This window comes from Homo sapiens, chromosome 1 (assembly GCF_000001405.40).
Source record: "Homo sapiens chromosome 1, GRCh38.p14 Primary Assembly".
In the NCBI taxonomy this organism is placed as follows: Eukaryota; Metazoa; Chordata; class Mammalia; order Primates; family Hominidae; genus Homo; species Homo sapiens.
Genome location: NC_000001.11, coordinates 45,188,038 through 45,206,983, shown reverse-complemented (window position 1 = coordinate 45,206,983; position 18,946 = coordinate 45,188,038). Strand labels below are relative to the sequence as shown.

Sequence of the window (18,946 nt, the reverse complement as noted above, 5' to 3'; positions counted from 1 at the left end):
AACTTTCTGATGTTTTCCCCTAGTGTCTTCTTTCCCAGCGTCTTTCTGCCAGATCTTCCGCTCTGCTGTGACAACCTCCTGTCACATCAGTACCGTTGGAGCTGGATTGTTTTTTTCTCCTTGTACCCCGCGAGCCTATAACTTCACGGAGGCGGCTCCTTGGATGGCTTATGGCCCCGCCATTTCATTCAGTCACACAGTCCATTCCTGTCTGGCCGGCGGCAGGTGGGTTGGAGGTGCGCGGGCGGGCGGGCGGGCGTGCGAGAGCGTCCGGCGCTCCTCTCCCCTCCGCGGTCGCCGGATCCGCGAGAGCGCTCGGCTCGCGTTCTAGGCTGTTTGCGCCTGGAGCGCGCCGCGGGCCCGCGCTCGCTCCCGCCTGTCTTCGCGTCCGCGGCGGCCAGGACACCGCGCGCCGCCTCACGCTACCCTGCAGGCCGCCCGCGTCTGCCCTCGCGGCGCGCTCCCGGGCCCGGCCGCGGTTCCCCACTCGGGCCGGCTGGCTCGCGGGTTCTCTCGCCCCGCCCCCCTCGGCGCCACCGCTGGGCGCTTGCGCGGGGCGCGTGGCCGTGGCCAGGGTCTCCGCCGCAGCCCGAGCAGCCGCCGCCGCCTCAGTCAGTCAGTCAGTCCCCAGCAATGGCGGACGGAGGTGAGCGAGAGGAGCTGCTCTCGCCGTCACCGGTCTCTCCGGCTAAGCGGCAGTGTTCGTGGCCCAGCCCGCAGGCTCATCACCCTCGCGGTTCGCCTGGGGCAGCCGGCGGAGGGGCAGGGGGCGTCGGCAGCAGCTGCCTGGTCCTCGGGGCCCGCCCCCACCTGCAGCCGGATTCCTTACTGGACTGCGCCGCCAAGACGGTGGCGGAAAAGTGGGCATACGAACGGGTGGAGGAGCGCTTCGAGCGGATCCCGGAGCCCGTGCAGCGCCGCATCGTCTACTGGTCCTTCCCGCGGAATGAGCGGGAGATCTGCATGTACTCCAGCTTCCAGTACCGGGGCGGCCCCGGCGCCGGCGCTGCTGGCGGCGCCGCGGGGGCTTCGCCGGCCGAGGAGGGGCCGCAGCCACCCCCCGGGGCCGCCGCTCCGGCCGGCTCCGCCCCCGGGGGCGTCGCGGCTGGGGCATCCCCCGGGCTGGGCGCAGGGGCCGGCGCGGCCGGCTGCGGTGGCGAGGGGCTCCCGTTCCGCCGGGGCATCCGTCTGCTGGACAGCGGCTCCGTGGAGAACGTGCTGCAAGTCGGTATGTGCTCGTCCAGGCGTTCTCGGGTCCTCAGCCTCCTCTTCCGCGGGTGCCTCTTCTCGGCCCGAGCCCTGGGGCCGAGACCCCGGCCTTCTGCCCAACTCCTGTACCCCTGCCGAAGGACGAACAAGTCACAAAAACTTTTTTCAACCTTTCACTCAGGTCCACCACTGCTCTTTCCTCCACTGACCCTCTACCCCAATTTCTTTTTGTTTGAAGAGTGAATAGATCTCTCTTCTTCACTCTTTCTATTCCCCACACCAAGGCAAAGAGAATGGGGAGGTATGACTTTTTGGATGTAATAATTTCAGAAATGTGTTGTCCTAATTTAAGTTTGGAGAGGAGAGGATTGTTAGTAAATCTGGAACAAGCGGTTTTAGAGGGAGCGTTTGAGGGACAGACTGTCAGAGGCAATCTATAGCCCTAGCCGATTGAGTCTCGATGAAATTAACACTGGGAAAAAAGCCCCAACAAAATACTGCATGTTTCAGACAGTTTTAATTGTCTGCGTTAGGATTTTTCCCCTGGACCGGTGATGCTTGGGAATCTAGGCTGCGGACTAACAATAACCGAAGATGGAAATGTGACAGCTTCTCCTCCACACCCCCACCCAAGGAAAAAAAAAAAAAAAGCCATACAATCTGGAGTGGGGGTGGGGTCTCTCTTCCTTGTCAGACTGGGGTAAATCAAAAGCTGGTCACGCTGGGTTTTTCAAAAGCTTCTCATTTAACAAGTCCTATTTGCTTTTATCTTTTTGTTATGGAAAAATATATTATACAAATGATTTCTTCCTTTACTCCTCCGGAGCTTCTAGTCAGTTTGTTAATCTTATTAAATATATAAATACAGTGCTTCTGATTTGTGGAATGGTTAAGGAGAAGGATAAAAAAATGATTAACATTGACTTTGCTATGTGGAAAATTAAAACACGAATTTTTTTCTATTTGGATTATTATGGCATTCTGGAAGTACATATCTTTATGCGTTTTATTGTACACTATATGCTCGTATTAATTGAAGAAAATACTGATTTTTGAAAGGAGTTGAAGGGAGGTTGTTTTTAGAATTAAACAAGCACAGAAAGACACAAACCCCAGACATCTAGCTCTCCAGGTAAAACCTGGAGAAAACATTTGAAAAATGTTTTTCTTTGAATCGTGCTGTTTCATATAAAGTAATCTGCTTCTGGTTATTGAGAATCATTGATTCCTGTGTTTCTAACCAAAACAACAGCATACCACAACTTGTTTTGCAAATGTGAAATGTAAATTTATCCTGTGCCAGAATATAGTGACAGTGGCTTGAGCAAGTTTTGTTTATTTGAAAGAGGTTAGTCCTTTATTTGTGTATATTTTTGAAAGAGTGACTTGAATAAATATGTAATTAAGGTGTACAGCTTTAATACTGAAACACTGAAAACATGAAAATAAATACAATCATTTTCCTATTAGTCTGTAAATTTTAATTTTTCTGAGTTTCGATCATTTATTTAACTTTTAAGATTCTTGTTTCAAATATTTTAAATGGAAAAGGATCAATTTAAGTGGTCATTTTATAGTAAGAGATGGATGAGGAAGAATTTTCAAACTTGAGGGAACAAATAAAAGAGAGGAAGAGTTTTAAAGAGGTGTCTATTTTTAAAGTAACTAAAGTGTCACTTTCCAAATGAAATAGGATATTTTGGGTAATCTAGATCATGTTTAAATCAGATATTTCCCCTTTATAATATGAAAGTTAATGTGGTTCTGGAGTTATAGGCTCTCTTATGGTAGTTTCAGAAGACACATATAAACAAACATGTTTTCTGATTGACTTGAGAAAAGACACATATAAACAAACATGTTTTCTGATTGACTTTGGATTTCAAAGACGAAGACCGGTGAATAAATTTATCACTTTAAGTTTATGCTACTTGAGAACCACGAGCTGTGTAATTTTTATTATTCTGACCTTAATTTAGGTTAATAAGTATAGGAGAGAAGGATAGCCTGTTCTGCATCTTTTTGAGTTCTGTATTTTGGTATGAACCACCTTTAATAGAGACTCATCCCCCATCTCCTAAACTTAAAGTTATAAGTAAATGACTTAATCTAGAGAGTAGGCTTTCTAAAAGTATTGCCAAGAGATGAGTAAGGAAGTGATTCGTATATACCAAGATAGTAATCGTGTTTTTCAGTTTATAACTGCACTTCAAACTCAATTAATTACTAAGTGATGCTAATTAAGAATTCTACATATTTCCTTACTGTTTCTAAACGATAGAACCTCAGATTTGGGAAGTTACTGAAGGCCGATGCTTTAGGAAGAACAGAAAGTTGGGGTATTTCTGTGACAACATCTTTTTAAGAAAAAGAGTCATAAGGGAATTTAATGAAAAAGGGAATTTAAATGAAAAAAGAAAGCACAAACAAAAAAGCCTTCAAGGCAAATAAATTAAAAACAAACAAAAACTTGTGGAAAGAGTAGGTAGATTAAATTCTGTAATTTCTAATTACTTTCCACACAAAATCTGGTAATGGGAAGTCATGAATTCTGGTTAAAAATTGGATACTTCAGATTTTAAATCAAAACTAAAACTTTTCCAGCTATGCTCAAAGGATACATTTCTTTTATGTAAGTACTGCATCAGAAGTAGTATTCCTTTTAAAAGGGGAAAATTGCAAATTAGTCTCTTCAGGGATGTCTGTAAGTTTAAAGCTATGTCAATAGACTTACAGTCTGATCTCAGTATTGTAAAGGTTAGAGTATGAACTCTATTGAAAACATATGAATGTTTTCAGCATCTGCATTTTTAACTTGTTTCAGAAGCCCATGGATATAGTAGTAGTATAAACTTTGGGAAAATACTTATTCAGGAGTCTGCAGATGGCATAAGAATAAGACACCTATAATTTACTAACGGTTTTAACATTTTGACCCTTTTGCTATCCACTGTATTTTAAATTGATTTCTTTGTATTTGGTAAAACTTAAAGAAGCTTTGCTTTTTCTCAGGAAAATCTGAATTGATTGAAGGAAAAAAAATTAACAGTTTTTCTCACTTAAACACAGAAATGTTATATTTACTTGGATATTTAGTTTTAAAAATTGGCTAAAGGCATGCAGGGGCCTTCTGCGCCTGGTACATCTTAGTTATGTACGTATTTATCCAGAAATTTTAAGTAGATTTTGACAGGTGACTTCAACAAAACCCCATAGTTTTAGTCTACACATTTTTTAATAAGTACATGATTTGTTCTTGAAGTCTTCAAGACTAGAACCAGAATGCTAAGTATTACCTTATGTGGAAGAGGTACAATTACAAAGTCAATAATGGAAATATAAAAAGTGGCCCATTTCAGGAAGTTATCTATAACTTAAACATCAAGTAGTAAGTTTAAAATTGTGTACACTTGTATATCATCAATAAACAGGTCTGTGAAATTTTTCTGTAGTATAACTTTTATGAAATTTATCAGTAACAAGTATTACAGTTTGTTGATTTTTATATGTAATTTGTTTTAATCTATATTGTTTGGGGGAACAAAAGATATCTACATTGAAAAAACTGTGGCATATGTGAGTTAGAATGAATAAAATTATAATAAAATTTCATGTGGAGAAAAATAACTTTATTGATATTTAAGGTATTCCATCACAGAAGGCAGCTGCATTCCTTTAAGCGGGTGTGCTTTTTAGCATAGAAATTTTTCAAGTTTTAAATCACATTATCTTTTTTTTTTCTGATCAATGAGTTCTCTCCCTCCACCCTAACACATCACATATGCACACATTTTAATGTTCAATAAGTGCTTGTTGAATGACTGAACGTTAAGAATGGATTTCTCAGTGTTGTAAAACAGAGAGAGACCTGAATTTTGAGTATGAGTGGTATTGGAATATATGGGGAAAACTCCAGATTTGTGCATATAATAAACTGATAGCATTAAGTAGTATGAGTGTTACAACTTAGGTGTATCTTCTGTGTTTAACCATCTATTTTGTGTGACGAATGGTGATTTATCAATTTCTTCAAATGAAAGCTTTAAATGAATTTTTCTAAAGGTGACTTTCTCAAGGATAGAGCTTTGGATTTTAAAGATGATGGATAAACTAAAGAGAGTGAATTTTATTTTAGAGGTTATCTTTATTTTAGGAATTTTAAAAATATATTATAGAAAAGGCTGGAAATTTATGCCTATGGGAGACAATTTTATTTCTCTTGTTTCAATAATAGCAATTAAAAAACAAGACATTAACTGTCAGTAATCTATTATGGTGAGGGTTATATGAATATATACATGTGTTAAAATGTATGGAACTATACACCAAAAAAGTCAAGTTTACTATATGATACCGTAGAAAATAAAATTTTTAAAAATCAATGCATTGATATAATGTACAAGAGAAACATATATATTACTGTAAAAATGCTGTATTAGTTTCCTATGGCTGCTGTAACAAAGTATCACAAACTGGATTGGCTTAAAACCACACAAATGTATTGTCTCAGAGTTCTGGAGGCTAGAAATCCAAAATCAAGGTGTTGGCAGTGCTATGCTCCTTCTGCAACCTACAGGGGAATCCTTTGTTGCCTCTTGCTAGCTTCTGGTGGTTTGTTGGCTGTCTTTGGCATTCTTTGACTTGGAGCTGCAAAATTCCAATCTCTGATTTTGTGGTCACGTGGCATTCTCCCTGTGTGTGTCTGTTTTCACATGGCCTTCTTATAAGGACACCGGTCATATTGGATTAGGGGCTCACCCTACTCCAGTATGACCTCATCTCAATCACATACACAACAACCCTATTCCCAAAGTCACATCATGAGGGACTGAGGTTATGTTCTGAGGTATTGGGGGTTAGGACTTCAGCATATTTTTTGGGGGGTGACATAATTCAGCCCATAACAGCTTCTCATACTTGTTTCTTGTTGCATATCTGAGTTTCATGTGAATTTTAAACTTTATTACATTAAGTATGGCTTAAGTTAGGAAATCACCACATTAATTTTATTAGGTAAGCATTATTTAGACTTGCTTGATTCAATTTGCATGATTATTTAATCTTAATACATGTGGAATATTTTTGACAAATAAGTGGTTATTTAAAGGTTAAAATTGTCATTCTTGATAAAAAATGATGACTGTGTGATATAGCACTCATGGTATACATATATGAATGAATAGATTACTGTGGGTTTTTTTTCATGCACACCATTTATAACTCAGCTTTAGAAATGGATAACCTTGAAAGCATATGAACAGTGTTTTAATGTCTGTTTCCAAACCCTAAATTACTATGGTTTACAATTAGTGCTTGATATTAGAAATAGATAATAATTTATTCCAGATAATTTTTATGTGAATTTTTTTACCTTGTGGTTTATTTATAGGCTTATTTCTTTCTAACATAGGCAGCATGCTTCTTGGACACTTTTAGCCTATCATGGAGCTAGTAGACTAAGAAAATCATACTTATTTAAATATTAGCTGTAGTATTATGTGATTATACGCTAAATTACTCTGCGATAGTTTTTGTAATCATATATAGTCAACTGATTAATTTTTGGTTTTCAGTGTAATTGTTCTCCCCCTTAGGATGTATAATGTGGTTTGTCCTAAGTTGGTGCTCAGTAAATGTTTATTGAATGAATGAGTACATTGTCATATCATTTTTTATATTTGTGTAGTATGACATCTCTCTTAATTGATTTATATGTAACTGAAGCCTAAAAGATGTATTGGCATTTGTGGCTCAATTTCTGGATGCTTCTGATTTTTAAAGCATTACATAGATAAAAATTATCCTTGAAGCTTATTATTAACTTGTTCTTGGTTCAGTCATTGAATTAACGTTTAGTCACTTATTACGTGTAAGGCTCAGTAAATAATTGTTTACCTGTTTTTGGTGGAAGTCTTTCTGTAGTACTTTGCATTTTCCTATCTTAGAGTACAAAGTTAGGTTGGGCATCAAAGCCTAAACTAAGGACTACATTACGTTGCCTTCCTTAGGTAGGGAGGAAGTTATAAACAGTGAATATTTGACTCTGAGAGTTTCTGAAGCCTGTTTTTGAAAAGTTCCTTGGATACATGTTTTTTGGTCATTTGCCTGTTCCTTATAATGGAGTGATGAATGTGGTATTTAGGGGAGTATAACATAGTTACCTTATTTAAAAGTAGACTATTGAGGCCAGGCGTGGTGGCTCACTCCCAGCACTTTGGTAGGCCGAGGCGGGTGGATCATGAGGTCAGGAGATCAAGACCATCCTGGCCAACATGGTGAAACCACGTCTCTACTAAAAATACAAAAATATTAGCCAGGTGTGGTGGCGTATGCCTGTAGTCCCAGCTACTCAGGAGGTTGAGGCAGGAGAATTGCTTGAAGCCGGGAGGCAGAGGTTGCAGTGAGCCAAGATCGTGCCACTGCACTCCAGCCTGGGCGACAGAGTGAGACTCCGTCTCAAAAAGAAAAAAAAAAAAAAAAGACTATTGAAGCAAAAGCTGAAGTACCCTTCTGCCTAGTGGTTTTCTTGCCTTAACAGCAGTTGTTTGCATACTTTGTATACTTTAGTCCTTAGAGAAATACAAATTAAAATTCAAGGAAATACCTACATTACACACACACTAAAATGGTTAAAGAAAAAAAAAAGACTGTACCAAATGCTGACAAGTATATGGAGTAACTGGAACTCTCATACATTGCTGGTATGTAATGTATGGCATGAATGCAAAATGGTGCAGCTACATTGGAAAACAATGTCCTTTATAGCTAATCATATACTTAAGCAAAAGATTCAGCAATCCTACTCTTAGGTATTTACCTGAGATAAATGAAAGTGTATAAGGGGATTTCAAAAGCTCATGGAAAAATGGAATTAAAGGATAAAAATTAAAAGTATAAACTTTATTTCTCAACATAAACTCCATCAAGTTCAAGAACTTTTGTAAGCAATGATACAAGCCACTTAGCACATCCCTAAAGAAATGAAGGTCCTAGGAATTCAACCATGTCAATGCAGTCTTCTTTACATTATTGACTGAAGAAAAATTGGTGCCTTTTGAAGATTTTTTTAAAGATTAGGGAACAAAAAGAAGTCAGAAGGAGCCAAATCAGGACTGTTAGGTGGATGCCTAATGATTTCTCATCAAAACTCTTATAGAATTGCCCTTGTTTGATGAGAGGAATGAGCAGGAACATTGTTGTGGTGGAGAAAAACTCTGGTAAAGCTTTCCTGGGCATTTTTCTGCTAATGCTTTGGCTAACTTTCTGAAAACACTCACATAATAAATCAAATGTTATCATTCTTTGTCCCTCCGGAAAGTCAGCAAGTAACATGACTTGAATATCCTAAAAAACTGTTGCCATGACCTTTGCTCTTGATCAGTCTGGTCTTGCTTTGATTGGACCACTGCCACCTCTTGGTAGCCATTGCTTTGATTGTGCTTTGTCTTCAGGATCATACTGGTAAAGTAATGTTTCATCTCCTGTCACAATTCTTCAGTGAAATGCCTCCGGATCTTGATCCTACTTGTTTAAAATTTCCAGTGAAAGCCCTGCTCTTATTAGCTGATCTGGATGCTGTGGTTTTGGCACCTGTCAAGTGGAAAGTTTGTTCAACTTTAATTTCTCAGCAGAATTGTGTAAGCTGTACAAATTGAGATGTCTATGATATTGTCTGTTGTTTCTGCTGTAATTGTCTGTCCTCGATTAGAGCACAAACAAGATGAATGTTTTTCCTCACAAATTGATGTGGATGGTCTGCTGCTGCAGGCTTCATGTTCAGCATCGTGATGGATCCTTTTAAAATGAGTTATCCATTTGTAAACTGCTGGTTTATTTGGGGCATTGCCCCATATACATTTTATAAAGCATCAGTGGTTTCACCATTCTTTCTCCCAAGCTTCACCATAAATTTGGTATTTGTTCTTGCTTCAATTTTAGCAGTATTCATGTTTCTCTGATAGGGGCTCTTTTCAAACTAATGTCTTATCCTTTTTAGTGCCTTAAACTAGATCCTATCCAGATATGTTATAGCAAGTTAGTATGAGTTTATCTTAGTGCAAAACAAAGTGAAATCCATGTGCAGTTTTTTTATAATACTCATTTTCCACAAACTTCACAAACTTTTTGAAGACCCTCATATGTTCACATAAAGACTTGTACTTGAATATTTATAGTAGTTTTATTCATAATAGCCCGAAACTAGAAATGACCCAAATGCTTACCAAATGGGGGAATGGATAAGGAAATTGTTGTATATCCATACAGATGGAATACTGTTCAGCAATAAAAAAGAACAAACTTACTGATAGGCTAGCAACACGGATGAATCTCAAAAGTATTATGCTAAATAAAAGAAACCATACCCAAAAGACTATATACAATTTCATATGTATGAAATTCTAGAAAGCCGAGATATAATGACAAAGTAGATCAGTGGTTTGATCAGTAGATCAAAGTAGAAGGGAATGGAGTTTGTGAATAAAAGTTCTCTGAAATGGAATTTAGAGGAAAGAGACTATTCCACAGAACAGCTTGAAAACCAGGAAGATGCAGCTGTTGGTGTAAAACAAAGGTGCATTCCAGAGAACAAGGGATTTGGCTTTTATACTGAAAGTTCCTGTCCAGGTTCCCAAACAGGTTCATGTATGCAAATAAAGGAGTCAAACTTTCTTAGTTCTGATTGGTCAACACAGCTGAGTTCTGATTGGTTGATGCAAGCCACAGCCTATTGGTTGTTTTGGGCAATGTGAATAGGAATAGTCAGCTATGAAAGTCTCAAAGTTAAGCAGAGGTGTGGGTTCTCCAGGAACTCAGAGTAAGTGTGTAACCTCTAGTCAGTAAATGGCTCTTGGGCTCTATTTTAAATGTAGGCCCAGTTAACCACTCAGGATTCATCTTGGGAGATTGGCTCAGGTTTGTAGGTGTGAGAAAACTTCTGGGTGATGGAAATGTTAATGACTGTAGTGGTTACATGACTATATTCTTTTGTCAAAACTTATTAAATTGTATGCTTAAATTGGCAAATTTTACTGATTGTAAATTGTACCTCAAAAATTTGATTTTAAAGAAAAGAATTGTGGGCTTCAGCCGGGCGTGGTGGCTCACGTCTGTAATCCCAGCACTTTGGGAGGCTGAGGCGGTCAGATCACGAGGTCAGGAGCTCGAGACCATCCTAGCTAACATGGTGAAATCCCGCCTCTACTAAAAATACAAAAAATTAGCCGGGCGTGGTGGCAGGCACCTGTAGTCCCAGCTACTCGGGAGGCTGAGGCAGGAGAATGGCATAAGCCCAGGAGGCGGAACTTGCAGTGAGCCGATATCGTGCCACTGCACTCCAGCCTGAGCAACAGAGCAAGACTTCCGCCTCAAAAAAAAAAAAAAAAAAAAAAAGGAATTGTGGGCTTCAATCTTGGTTTCACATTAAAATCACCTAGGGAGATTAAAAAAAAACCAAAAAAACAGTACCTGGCACTCACCCCAAATTAATCACGTCAGAATCTGCTGAGAATTAGGACCAAATTTCAGAATTTTTAGAAAGCTCCCAGGTAATTTTATATGCAGCCGAGGTTGAGAAATGCCGTTGTAGAAAAATGATCACCTGGCCAGGCTTGGTGGCTCACACCTGAAATCCCAGCACTTTGGGAGGCAAGACAGGAGGATCACTTGAGCCCAGGGGTTTGAGACCAGCCTGGGCAGCATATTGAGACCTCATCTTTAAAAAAAAAAAAAAAAAAAAAAAACTAGCTGGGTGTAACGGTGCTCACCTGTAGTCCCGGCTACTTGGGAGGCTGAGGTGGGAGGATTGCTTGAGCCTGGGAGGTTAAGGCTGCAGTGAGCCATGATGGCGTCACTGCTCTCCAGCGTAGGTGACAGAGCGAGACCTGTCTAAAAAAAAAAAAAAGAAAAAGAAAAATTAACACCTTTATTAGTGTTATCATTGTTTCTGAACCTGTTGTTGGCAGTCAAAACATTATGTAATCTTTATTCTACAAATGCTATGGACCATGTCAACTTTCTTTTCTATTTATTGTTTCACCTATCTTTATTAATGGATGTGAAGGAAAATCATTCTCTTAACTACTCAAAGAATGTCTCTCTGTATTTTGGAGAGGCCTTATTCCAAAGTAAAAATTGTCATTGTTACTATCATCAAAAGACATTTGTATTTAATGTAATGCCAAGCTATAATTTTCTTCATGTTTGTTCACCCATTTATTTATTTATAAAACCTATTTTTTTTTTAACTGGGCACAGTGGCTTACGCTTGTAATCCCAGCACTTTGGGATGCTTAGGTGGGAGGATCACTTGACCCCAGGAGTTCAAGAACAGCCTGGGCAACATAGGGAGACCCTGTCCCTATTAAAAAAAATTAGCCAGGCATGTTGGCACACACTTAGAGTCCCAGCTACTTGGGGGTGCTGAGGTGGGAGGAATGCTTGAGCCTGGGAGGTTGGGGCTGCAGTGAGCTGTGATCACAGGCCATTGCACTGCAGCCTGGGCAACAGAGCAAGACCCTGTCTCAAAAACAAAAAAACAAAAACTTTAAATTTTTTAGTATGATCTGTGCAAAACAGAACATAATTTCTATATTTAAGAGGCACACAGTTTACTATGGAATGTACATATAAAAATGGCGTTTAAAAATTTTCTATTAAATCAGTTAAGGGTCTGAATAGATAAAATGGCATTTACCACAATGTTCTGTAATAATAGAAGAAGTTACTATGGGGGAAGAGAGTAGGAAGTGATTAACTTGGGAAGTGGGGACTACAGGATACATTGCTCTATTTTAATATAATTCCAATTATAAGAAATTTTAGAATTATGTCTAATATTGCAATAAAGATTGAAAACACTTTACTGCTTACAAGTTAGATTAACCTCTTTTTTTTTTTTTGAGACGGAGTCTTGCTCTGTTGCCCAGGCTGGTGTGCAGTGGTGCAATCTCGGCTCACTGCAAGCTCCGCCTCCTGGGTTCACACCATTCTCCTGCCTCAGCCTCCCGAGTAGCTGGGACTACAGATGCCCGCCACCACGCCTGGCTGATTTTTTGTATTTTTAGTAGAAACAGGGTTTCACTGTGTTAGCCAGGATGGTCTCGATCTCCTGACCTCGTGATCCGCCCACCTCGGCCTCCCAAAGTGCTGGGATTACAGGTGTGAGCCACCGCGCCTGGCCAGATTAAGCTTTAATAAAATTCTTTCTGTATTAACATTTTTTATGCCCCGTAATACTTTGGTGCATAGTTGATCCAAAGGGGTAATATTAGTAGGAAGGAAGATGACAAGATGTTACCAAATATTAATCCTTTTTTCTGAGAGTAAACTTTACAGATTTCTGGCTTTAAAATAGCTTTTTGTTATCTTCAGATAATCCTTACCTTTTTTGTTAAAAAAAATTGTTGCTTCTTTTAGGTATAAACATACAATGGAACTAATCAGGAAAATAGCTTTTTGTGCTTCCATTATCTTTTGGTCTGTGAGCAACAGGAAAATCTATTGTGTCTTTGAAAGCCTTGGAGATAATTACATTTTTCCCCCTATTCATTCATGGTTTTATTGAATAGAGGCCTGTAGCACTGATAGATTCTGGAAAAGCCAGCTTGTTCTTATTTTGTTTAAATCTGTCAATACCTGCTAACTGATATGAGTAGCCAACATCACCAACATACATTGATGTTATTAGTAATATAAAATCCTTCCCCACATTATGGCTCCCTATTGTGAAAAACTCTTATTTTTGTCTCACTGAATATTATATTATTGTAGTCTTTACCATCACATGTATTTGGATTTATCTACCATATGTGCATGTATGTATATATATATATATATACACATATGCACACATATGTACACATACGTACTATCACAAATATGTAATTCTGGCTCCTTCAAAGTCTCAGTTTTTTCAACTGTAAAAGGGCAAAATGATGGTACCTACTTCATAGGTTGTTTTGAGAATTAAATTAGTTAATATGTAAAGCACTTAGAATGAGGCTGAACACATATTAAGTGCTATGTAAATATTCACTATTATTATTACAGCTTTTACCAAAATTGAGAGTATTCTGTATTTATCTTCCCTCCCTCAACCTTCACTCCACCTTCTAAAGGTTTTGTAGTCTGACTTATGCTTTCATTCACTAAATTAAAATTGATCTCTTAAAGGTCGCTAGTGACCTCATGATTGCCAAACACAGTATCTTTTTTCTAGTCCTCATTCTTCATGACCTCTGTATAGAATTTTCTGTAGTCTACTATACATTTCTCTTGAAATGCTTCTTCCTAGATTTTTGTTTTACTTCACCATTCTGGCTTTCTTTCTGTTTTCTTTTATTCTCTTACCCCACAATAGTAGGATGCGCCTTCTTATATCAAGTCTTCTAATTTACAATCTAATTTATTTCTACAGTTTCAACTACAATTTTATGAACATAAGATAGCATGATATGATGTAGTGGTTTAAAATTTGTTTAAAGCAACTGTACTCTAACTTTCAAAGGAAATCTTATGCTGGAATTCCAGCTTTTGCAGCAGATAAAATCTGAGCTGTGTTGGGGATTGGGGTGGAGACCAGAACTTAATCAGTATGGCCAGCTACTTCTTCCCTTTGAAACTCTGAAGCACTTCCAAATAATCCAAAGATCAGCATATATATTTGCCTGCCAGATATTTCTAAGTGGATATCTTAATAGCCACTCAAAACCGAACTGCTTGATAAGGGGATTAATATCCAGAATATATTAAAGAACTACAACTCAGCCACAAGAAAAAACCTAATTCAAAAATGGGAAAGGACTTGAATAAACATTTCTCCAGAGACAATGTACAGATGACCAATAAGCACAAGAAAAGATGCTCAACAGCACTAATTATTAGAGTAATGAAAATCAAAACCACAATGAAATACTACTTCACACCCATTAGGATGGTTATTATTTTTTTAAAAAGCCAGAAAATAACAAATGTTGGCAAGGATGTGGAGAAGTTGGAACCATTTGGAAATATAAAATGGTGTAGCTTTTGTAGAAAACAGTATGGCAGTTCCTAAAAAAATTAAACACAGAATAACCATATGAACCAGAAATTCTGCTTCTGGTTGTATAACCAAAATAATTGAAAGCAGGGAATTGAATAGATATTTATACAACCATGTTTTATAGCAGCATTATTCACAATAGGCAGAAGATGGAAACAACCCAAGTGTCCATCGACAGATGAATGGATAAACAAAAGGTCTATTTTCCTTCCTTCCTTCCTTCCTTTCTCTGTCTTTCTATCTACAGGAAATGTTATTTAGCCCTGAAAAGGAAGGAAATCCTAATACATGCTACAACATGGATGAATGTTAAAGATTATGCTAAGTGAATAAGCCAGACACCAAAGGACAAACATTATATGATTCCACTTACATGCAGTATTTAGGTAGGCAAATTCATAGAGATAGAAGTAGAATAGAGGTTGTCAGGGGCTGAGGGGAGAGAGAAATGAAGAGTTACTGTTCTGTTGAACTAGAATTTTAGTATGGGAGGATGAAAAATTCTGGAGATAGGTAGGAGTGATGGTTGTACAACCAAGTGAATGTGCTTAATACCACTGAACTGTCCACTTAAAAATGATAAATCTTAGTATATTTTACCACAATAAAAAAGTTAAAAGCCACATATATTATTTTATTTATACAAAATGTCCAGAATAGGCAAATCCTAGAGACAGAAAGTAGGTTAGTGGTTTCTAGGGCCTGTGAGTAAGGGGAGTGATTACTAATGGGTATGGGATTTCCTTCTGGGGTGAAAATGTTCCAAAATTAGATAGTGGCAATGGTTGCACAAATCTTTGAATACACTAAATAACCAAATTGTGTACTTTTCAAAGTTGTGTACCTCTCAAGGGTGAGCTCTATTATGTATGAATTATATAATAAAGCTATCATTAGAAAAGCAAATATTCCAATAAAACAAAAAGGAAAGGAAAACCTTCAAACATTATGTTTCGTAGAGAATGAGCTCTAAATTCCTAAGTGCCGTGTTTGGAGACCTGGGCCCAAATCCCAGTTCTGCCACTTTCTAGCTGTGTAACCTTGGACAAGTTACTTAACCTCTCTGAGCCTCAATTCTCTGTGTACTTTCAGGACACTTATAAAGGAGTGAGGAAAGCACAATTAGGAGGGCAGAGAAGTCGAATTGATGCAATCACAACGGAGACTTCAGTCAATCCTATGGGGAGCTCTGCAGCTGGGATGGCACTTGAGAATTATCTGGAAATAGATGTGGGCTGGCTGACCTGAGGGAGAAGAGGCATAACCCTGGGTGGGGTATTTTTCTTTATGTGGTAGAGATGAAGGTGAACTACACTGTTTCTCTTCAGGGAACTACTTGCTGCCCAGCTGCCGGAAGTGCTTTCATCAGACAGCTTCCAACTGTCAGCTGATTCACGGGCTGTCTCAGCAGCAGAGATCTGCTTCATCTGAGGTCATACTTTTCTAAGGGCAGCCTGCAAATGACTGAGCAAGGTAGGAGCGTAAAGCTCCAGCTATTTCGGCCGGGCGCGGTGGCTCACGCCTGTAATCCCAGCACTTTGGGAGGCCGAGGCGGGCGGATCACGAGGTCAGGATAAGGAGCGGGCGGATCACGAGGTCTCTACTAAAAATACAAAAAATTAGCCGGGCGCGGTGGCGGGCGTCTGTAGTCCCAGCTACTCGGGAGGCTGAGGCAGGAGAATGGCGTGAACCTGGGAGGCGCAGCTTGCAGTGAGAGGAGATAGCGCCACTGCACTCCGGCCTGGGCGAAAGAGCGAGACTCCGTCTCAAAAAAAAAAAAAAAAAAAAAAAAAAAAAAAAAAAAATTCCAGCTATTTCAGTCGAACATGGAACTCTCCGACAGGCAATACCTGCTCCAGAGAGCCAAATCTGGTTGGCTGAGCTTTTATCAGGCCTGCATTGCAGTTTGATTTCTTCCTCTTCCCAGTCCTGCTTCTGTTGCCGTTCTTTCACAGATGTTGATCCCTAGTAAGTGTGTTGCATTTCTCATTCTATCTTGGTGTTTCCTTTCAGAGAACTCAATCTGTGATACTTTGGTTGAGGGCAGCTCATGGAGGAGGACATAGCTGTAACCTCTCAGCAGCCAACTCTCCTGGCAGTTAGAGGAATAAATGCCTTGGTCCTGACGGAAGGATCCGAGCGCTACATTTCCTCTGACTCTTGGATTCATTTCGTAGAGTAAATTCACCCTATAAGGGAACCGCTCCTCCAGGATTGTTTGGTCTCTTTTTTTGGGGATGCTTACAAGAGTAAAATTAGGAGGCAAATCACAACTTCTGTCACTGAAAGTAGTCCCCAGAACACAGCTGATCTTGTCCCGCTCCTCTAATCTCCATTATGGATTCTTAGCCAGAATCTCTGGTGGTCTAAGTGGTTTACCTGGGAATGGGTGGTGACTGTTTTTTTTTGAGACAGGGTCTGGCTCTGTCACCCAGGCTGGAATACAGTGGTATGATCTCAGCTCACTGCAATCTCCAGCTTCCTGGCCCAGGTGATCCTCCTACTTCAGCCTCCCGAGTAGCTGGGACTATAGGCACGCACCACTATGCCTGGCTAATTTGGCTAATTTTTATATTTTTTCTGTGGAGACAGGGTTTTTCCATGTTGCCCAAGCTGGTCTTGAACTCCTGAGTTCAAGCAGTCTGCCTGCTTCAGCCTCCCATAGTGCTGGGATTACAGGTGTGAGCCACTGTACCCAGCAACTGTTTTACAGAAAAGCCTGAGCCTAGTTACTGTGACGTTTCTCAGGCCTTGCCCACTGCGTTTGTTCATTTACTGTCAACATTGGGCTGGGAAGTATCAAGAGATGCCCCAGTGGTAAATTAGATGCTAAATGTCCTCTACTCCCTGATGTTACTTTACTTTGTGTTGATAAATCTGCTTTATTTTGTAAACACCATCTGTTGCTGAGATAGCACATAATGTGACATTAAAATCAGGTAATTATGTAGGTTGTTTTTGTTTTGTTTTGTTTTTTGAGACGAAATCCAGCTCTGTCACCCAGGCTGGAATGCAGCGACAAGATCATGGCTTACTGCAGCCCCTACCTTCTAGGCTCAGGTAATTCCCTCACCTCAGCCTCCCGAGTGGCTGGGACTGCAGGTGCACGCCGCCATGCCTGGCTAACTTTTTGTGTTTTTTGTAGAGATAAGGTTTTGCCATGTTGCCCCACTGGTCCTGAACTCCTGGGCTCAAGTGATCCACCTACCTCGGCCTCCCAAAGTGCTGGGATTGCAGGTGTGAGTCACCAGCCTGGCCTATTATGTAGGTTTTAAAGATCAAATATAGTATTGTTGAATATGCTTTATTAATGGTTCTTTGATATATTATTAAAGTACTAATTGCAAAAGTTTTCAGATTATTACTTTGTGTGTTGTCCCTTGCAAATATTATTATTATTATTATTATTATTTTCTTTGAGACAGAGTCTCTGTCTGTTGACCAGGCTAGAGTGCAGTGGCATGATCTCAGCTCAATGCAGCCTCTGCCTCCCGGGTTGAAGTGATTCTCCTGCCTCAGCCTCCCAAGTAGCTGGGATTGTAGGTGTGCACTACCATCCCTGGCTAATTTTTGTATTATTAGTAGAGACAGAGTTTTTCCATGTTGGTCAGGCTGGTCTTGAACTCCTGACCTCAGGTGATCTGCCCACCTCAACCTCTCAAAATTTCTGGGATTACAGGCGTGAGCCACCGTGCCCGGTCCCTTGCAAATATTACTAATATAGCATCAAGGTAATTAGCAACAAAAGAAGTCACTCAACCAGAATGTTATCCAGTATGTTAGTGTAGTTTTATTTAGAACTTTATTTAGTAGTGAATGGTTTTTCAGTACCTATTCCCTTTTATCTATTCCCTTGGAGATTAGAATTGAAAAGGAGTTGGATTTTAACTTTCCTCAGTTATATATCTGTGTGATAAATATGCTGTCTAGCACACCATCAAAACAGGTTAGCCTTGCTAGGGTTTTTGTTTGTTTTGTTTTTATTAGGGAGGCTATCTTCTCTCTGTTTTGACGTCTAGGCTGCCTAATGAGGCCTTGAAAACCAGTCTCCAGCAGTGTCCCTGAAGACTTTGTAGTCTGGAATGAGGGGACCTTACAGCAGGTTTTCCCCACCTAATATCTTTAGTGAGATATACTTCATGTACTGTATAACTCATCCATTTAAAGTGTACAATTCAGTGGCTTTTACTATATTCACAGGTAGGGGCTGCCTTCACCACAGTCAATTTTAGAAGATTTTCCTCACCTCAGAAGAACCTTGCATCCTTTAGCTGTCACTCCCCAATCCAATCCCATATAGTCCTAAGCAATTACCAGTCTACTTTCTGTCTCTATGGATTTGCTTATTCTAGCCATTTTATATAAATTGAGTAAGAATATGTAGTCTTTTGTGACTGGCTTCTTTCACTTAGCATAATGTTTTAAAGGTCCATAAATGTGTAACATATATCTGTACTTTATTCCTTTTTAATGGTGAATAATATTACATTGTATGGATATACCACATTTTGTTTATCCATTAATTGGTTGTTGCATGTTTGGGTTGTTTTCCTTTTGGTTATTGTGAATAATGCTGCTGTGAATATTTGCATACAAGCTTTTGTGTGGATACGTGTTTTCATTTCTCTTGGGTATACATCTAAGAGTAGAATTGTTGGATCATGCAGTAACTATGTATAACATTTTGAGGAACTG

At 39.7% G+C, this 18,946-nt stretch overlaps 1 protein-coding gene across 3 annotated transcripts in view, besides 6 other annotated features; it reads left to right on the top strand.

Moving 5' to 3' along the window:
* Nucleotides 1–900: an enhancer, noted in NCBI's record as "H3K27ac-H3K4me1 hESC enhancer chr1:45671756-45672655 (GRCh37/hg19 assembly coordinates)". NCBI's record gives its function as "activates a minimal SCP1, AML or CMV promoter by ChIP-STARR-seq in naive H9 embryonic stem cells {active_cell/tissue: H9 hESC(naive)}" and the evidence as "EXISTENCE:reporter gene assay evidence [ECO:0000049][PMID:30033119]".
* Nucleotides 1–932: a biological region, named in NCBI's record as "H3K27ac-H3K4me1 hESC enhancer GRCh37_chr1:45671756-45672655".
* Nucleotides 153–572: a silencer, noted in NCBI's record as "silent region_827". NCBI's record gives its function as "represses an Ori minimal core promoter by ATAC-STARR-seq in GM12878 lymphoblastoid cells {active_cell/tissue: GM12878}" and the evidence as "EXISTENCE:reporter gene assay evidence [ECO:0000049][PMID:35858748]".
* ZSWIM5 (zinc finger SWIM-type containing 5) overlaps nucleotides 379–18,946 on the top strand; it is a 190,207-nt gene continuing 171,639 nt past the window's right edge. For all 3 annotated transcript variants that reach the window (XM_047426192.1, NM_020883.2, XM_011541861.4), the window contains exon 1: nucleotides 379–1,228. In XM_047426192.1, coding sequence (XP_047282148.1) covers nucleotides 634–1,228 — 595 coding nt within the window. In that variant the 5' untranslated portion in view covers nucleotides 379–633. The remainder of the gene's footprint in view (nucleotides 1,229–18,946) is intronic.
* Nucleotides 773–932: a silencer, noted in NCBI's record as "silent region_826". NCBI's record gives its function as "represses an Ori minimal core promoter by ATAC-STARR-seq in GM12878 lymphoblastoid cells {active_cell/tissue: GM12878}" and the evidence as "EXISTENCE:reporter gene assay evidence [ECO:0000049][PMID:35858748]".
* Nucleotides 901–1,801: an enhancer, noted in NCBI's record as "H3K27ac-H3K4me1 hESC enhancer chr1:45670855-45671755 (GRCh37/hg19 assembly coordinates)". NCBI's record gives its function as "activates a minimal SCP1, AML or CMV promoter by ChIP-STARR-seq in naive H9 embryonic stem cells {active_cell/tissue: H9 hESC(naive)}" and the evidence as "EXISTENCE:reporter gene assay evidence [ECO:0000049][PMID:30033119]".
* Nucleotides 2,901–3,101: a silencer, noted in NCBI's record as "peak198 fragment used in MPRA reporter construct". NCBI's record gives its function as "represses an SCP1 promoter by STARR-seq MPRAs in K562 erythroleukemia cells {active_cell/tissue: K562}" and the evidence as "EXISTENCE:reporter gene assay evidence [ECO:0000049][PMID:32103011]".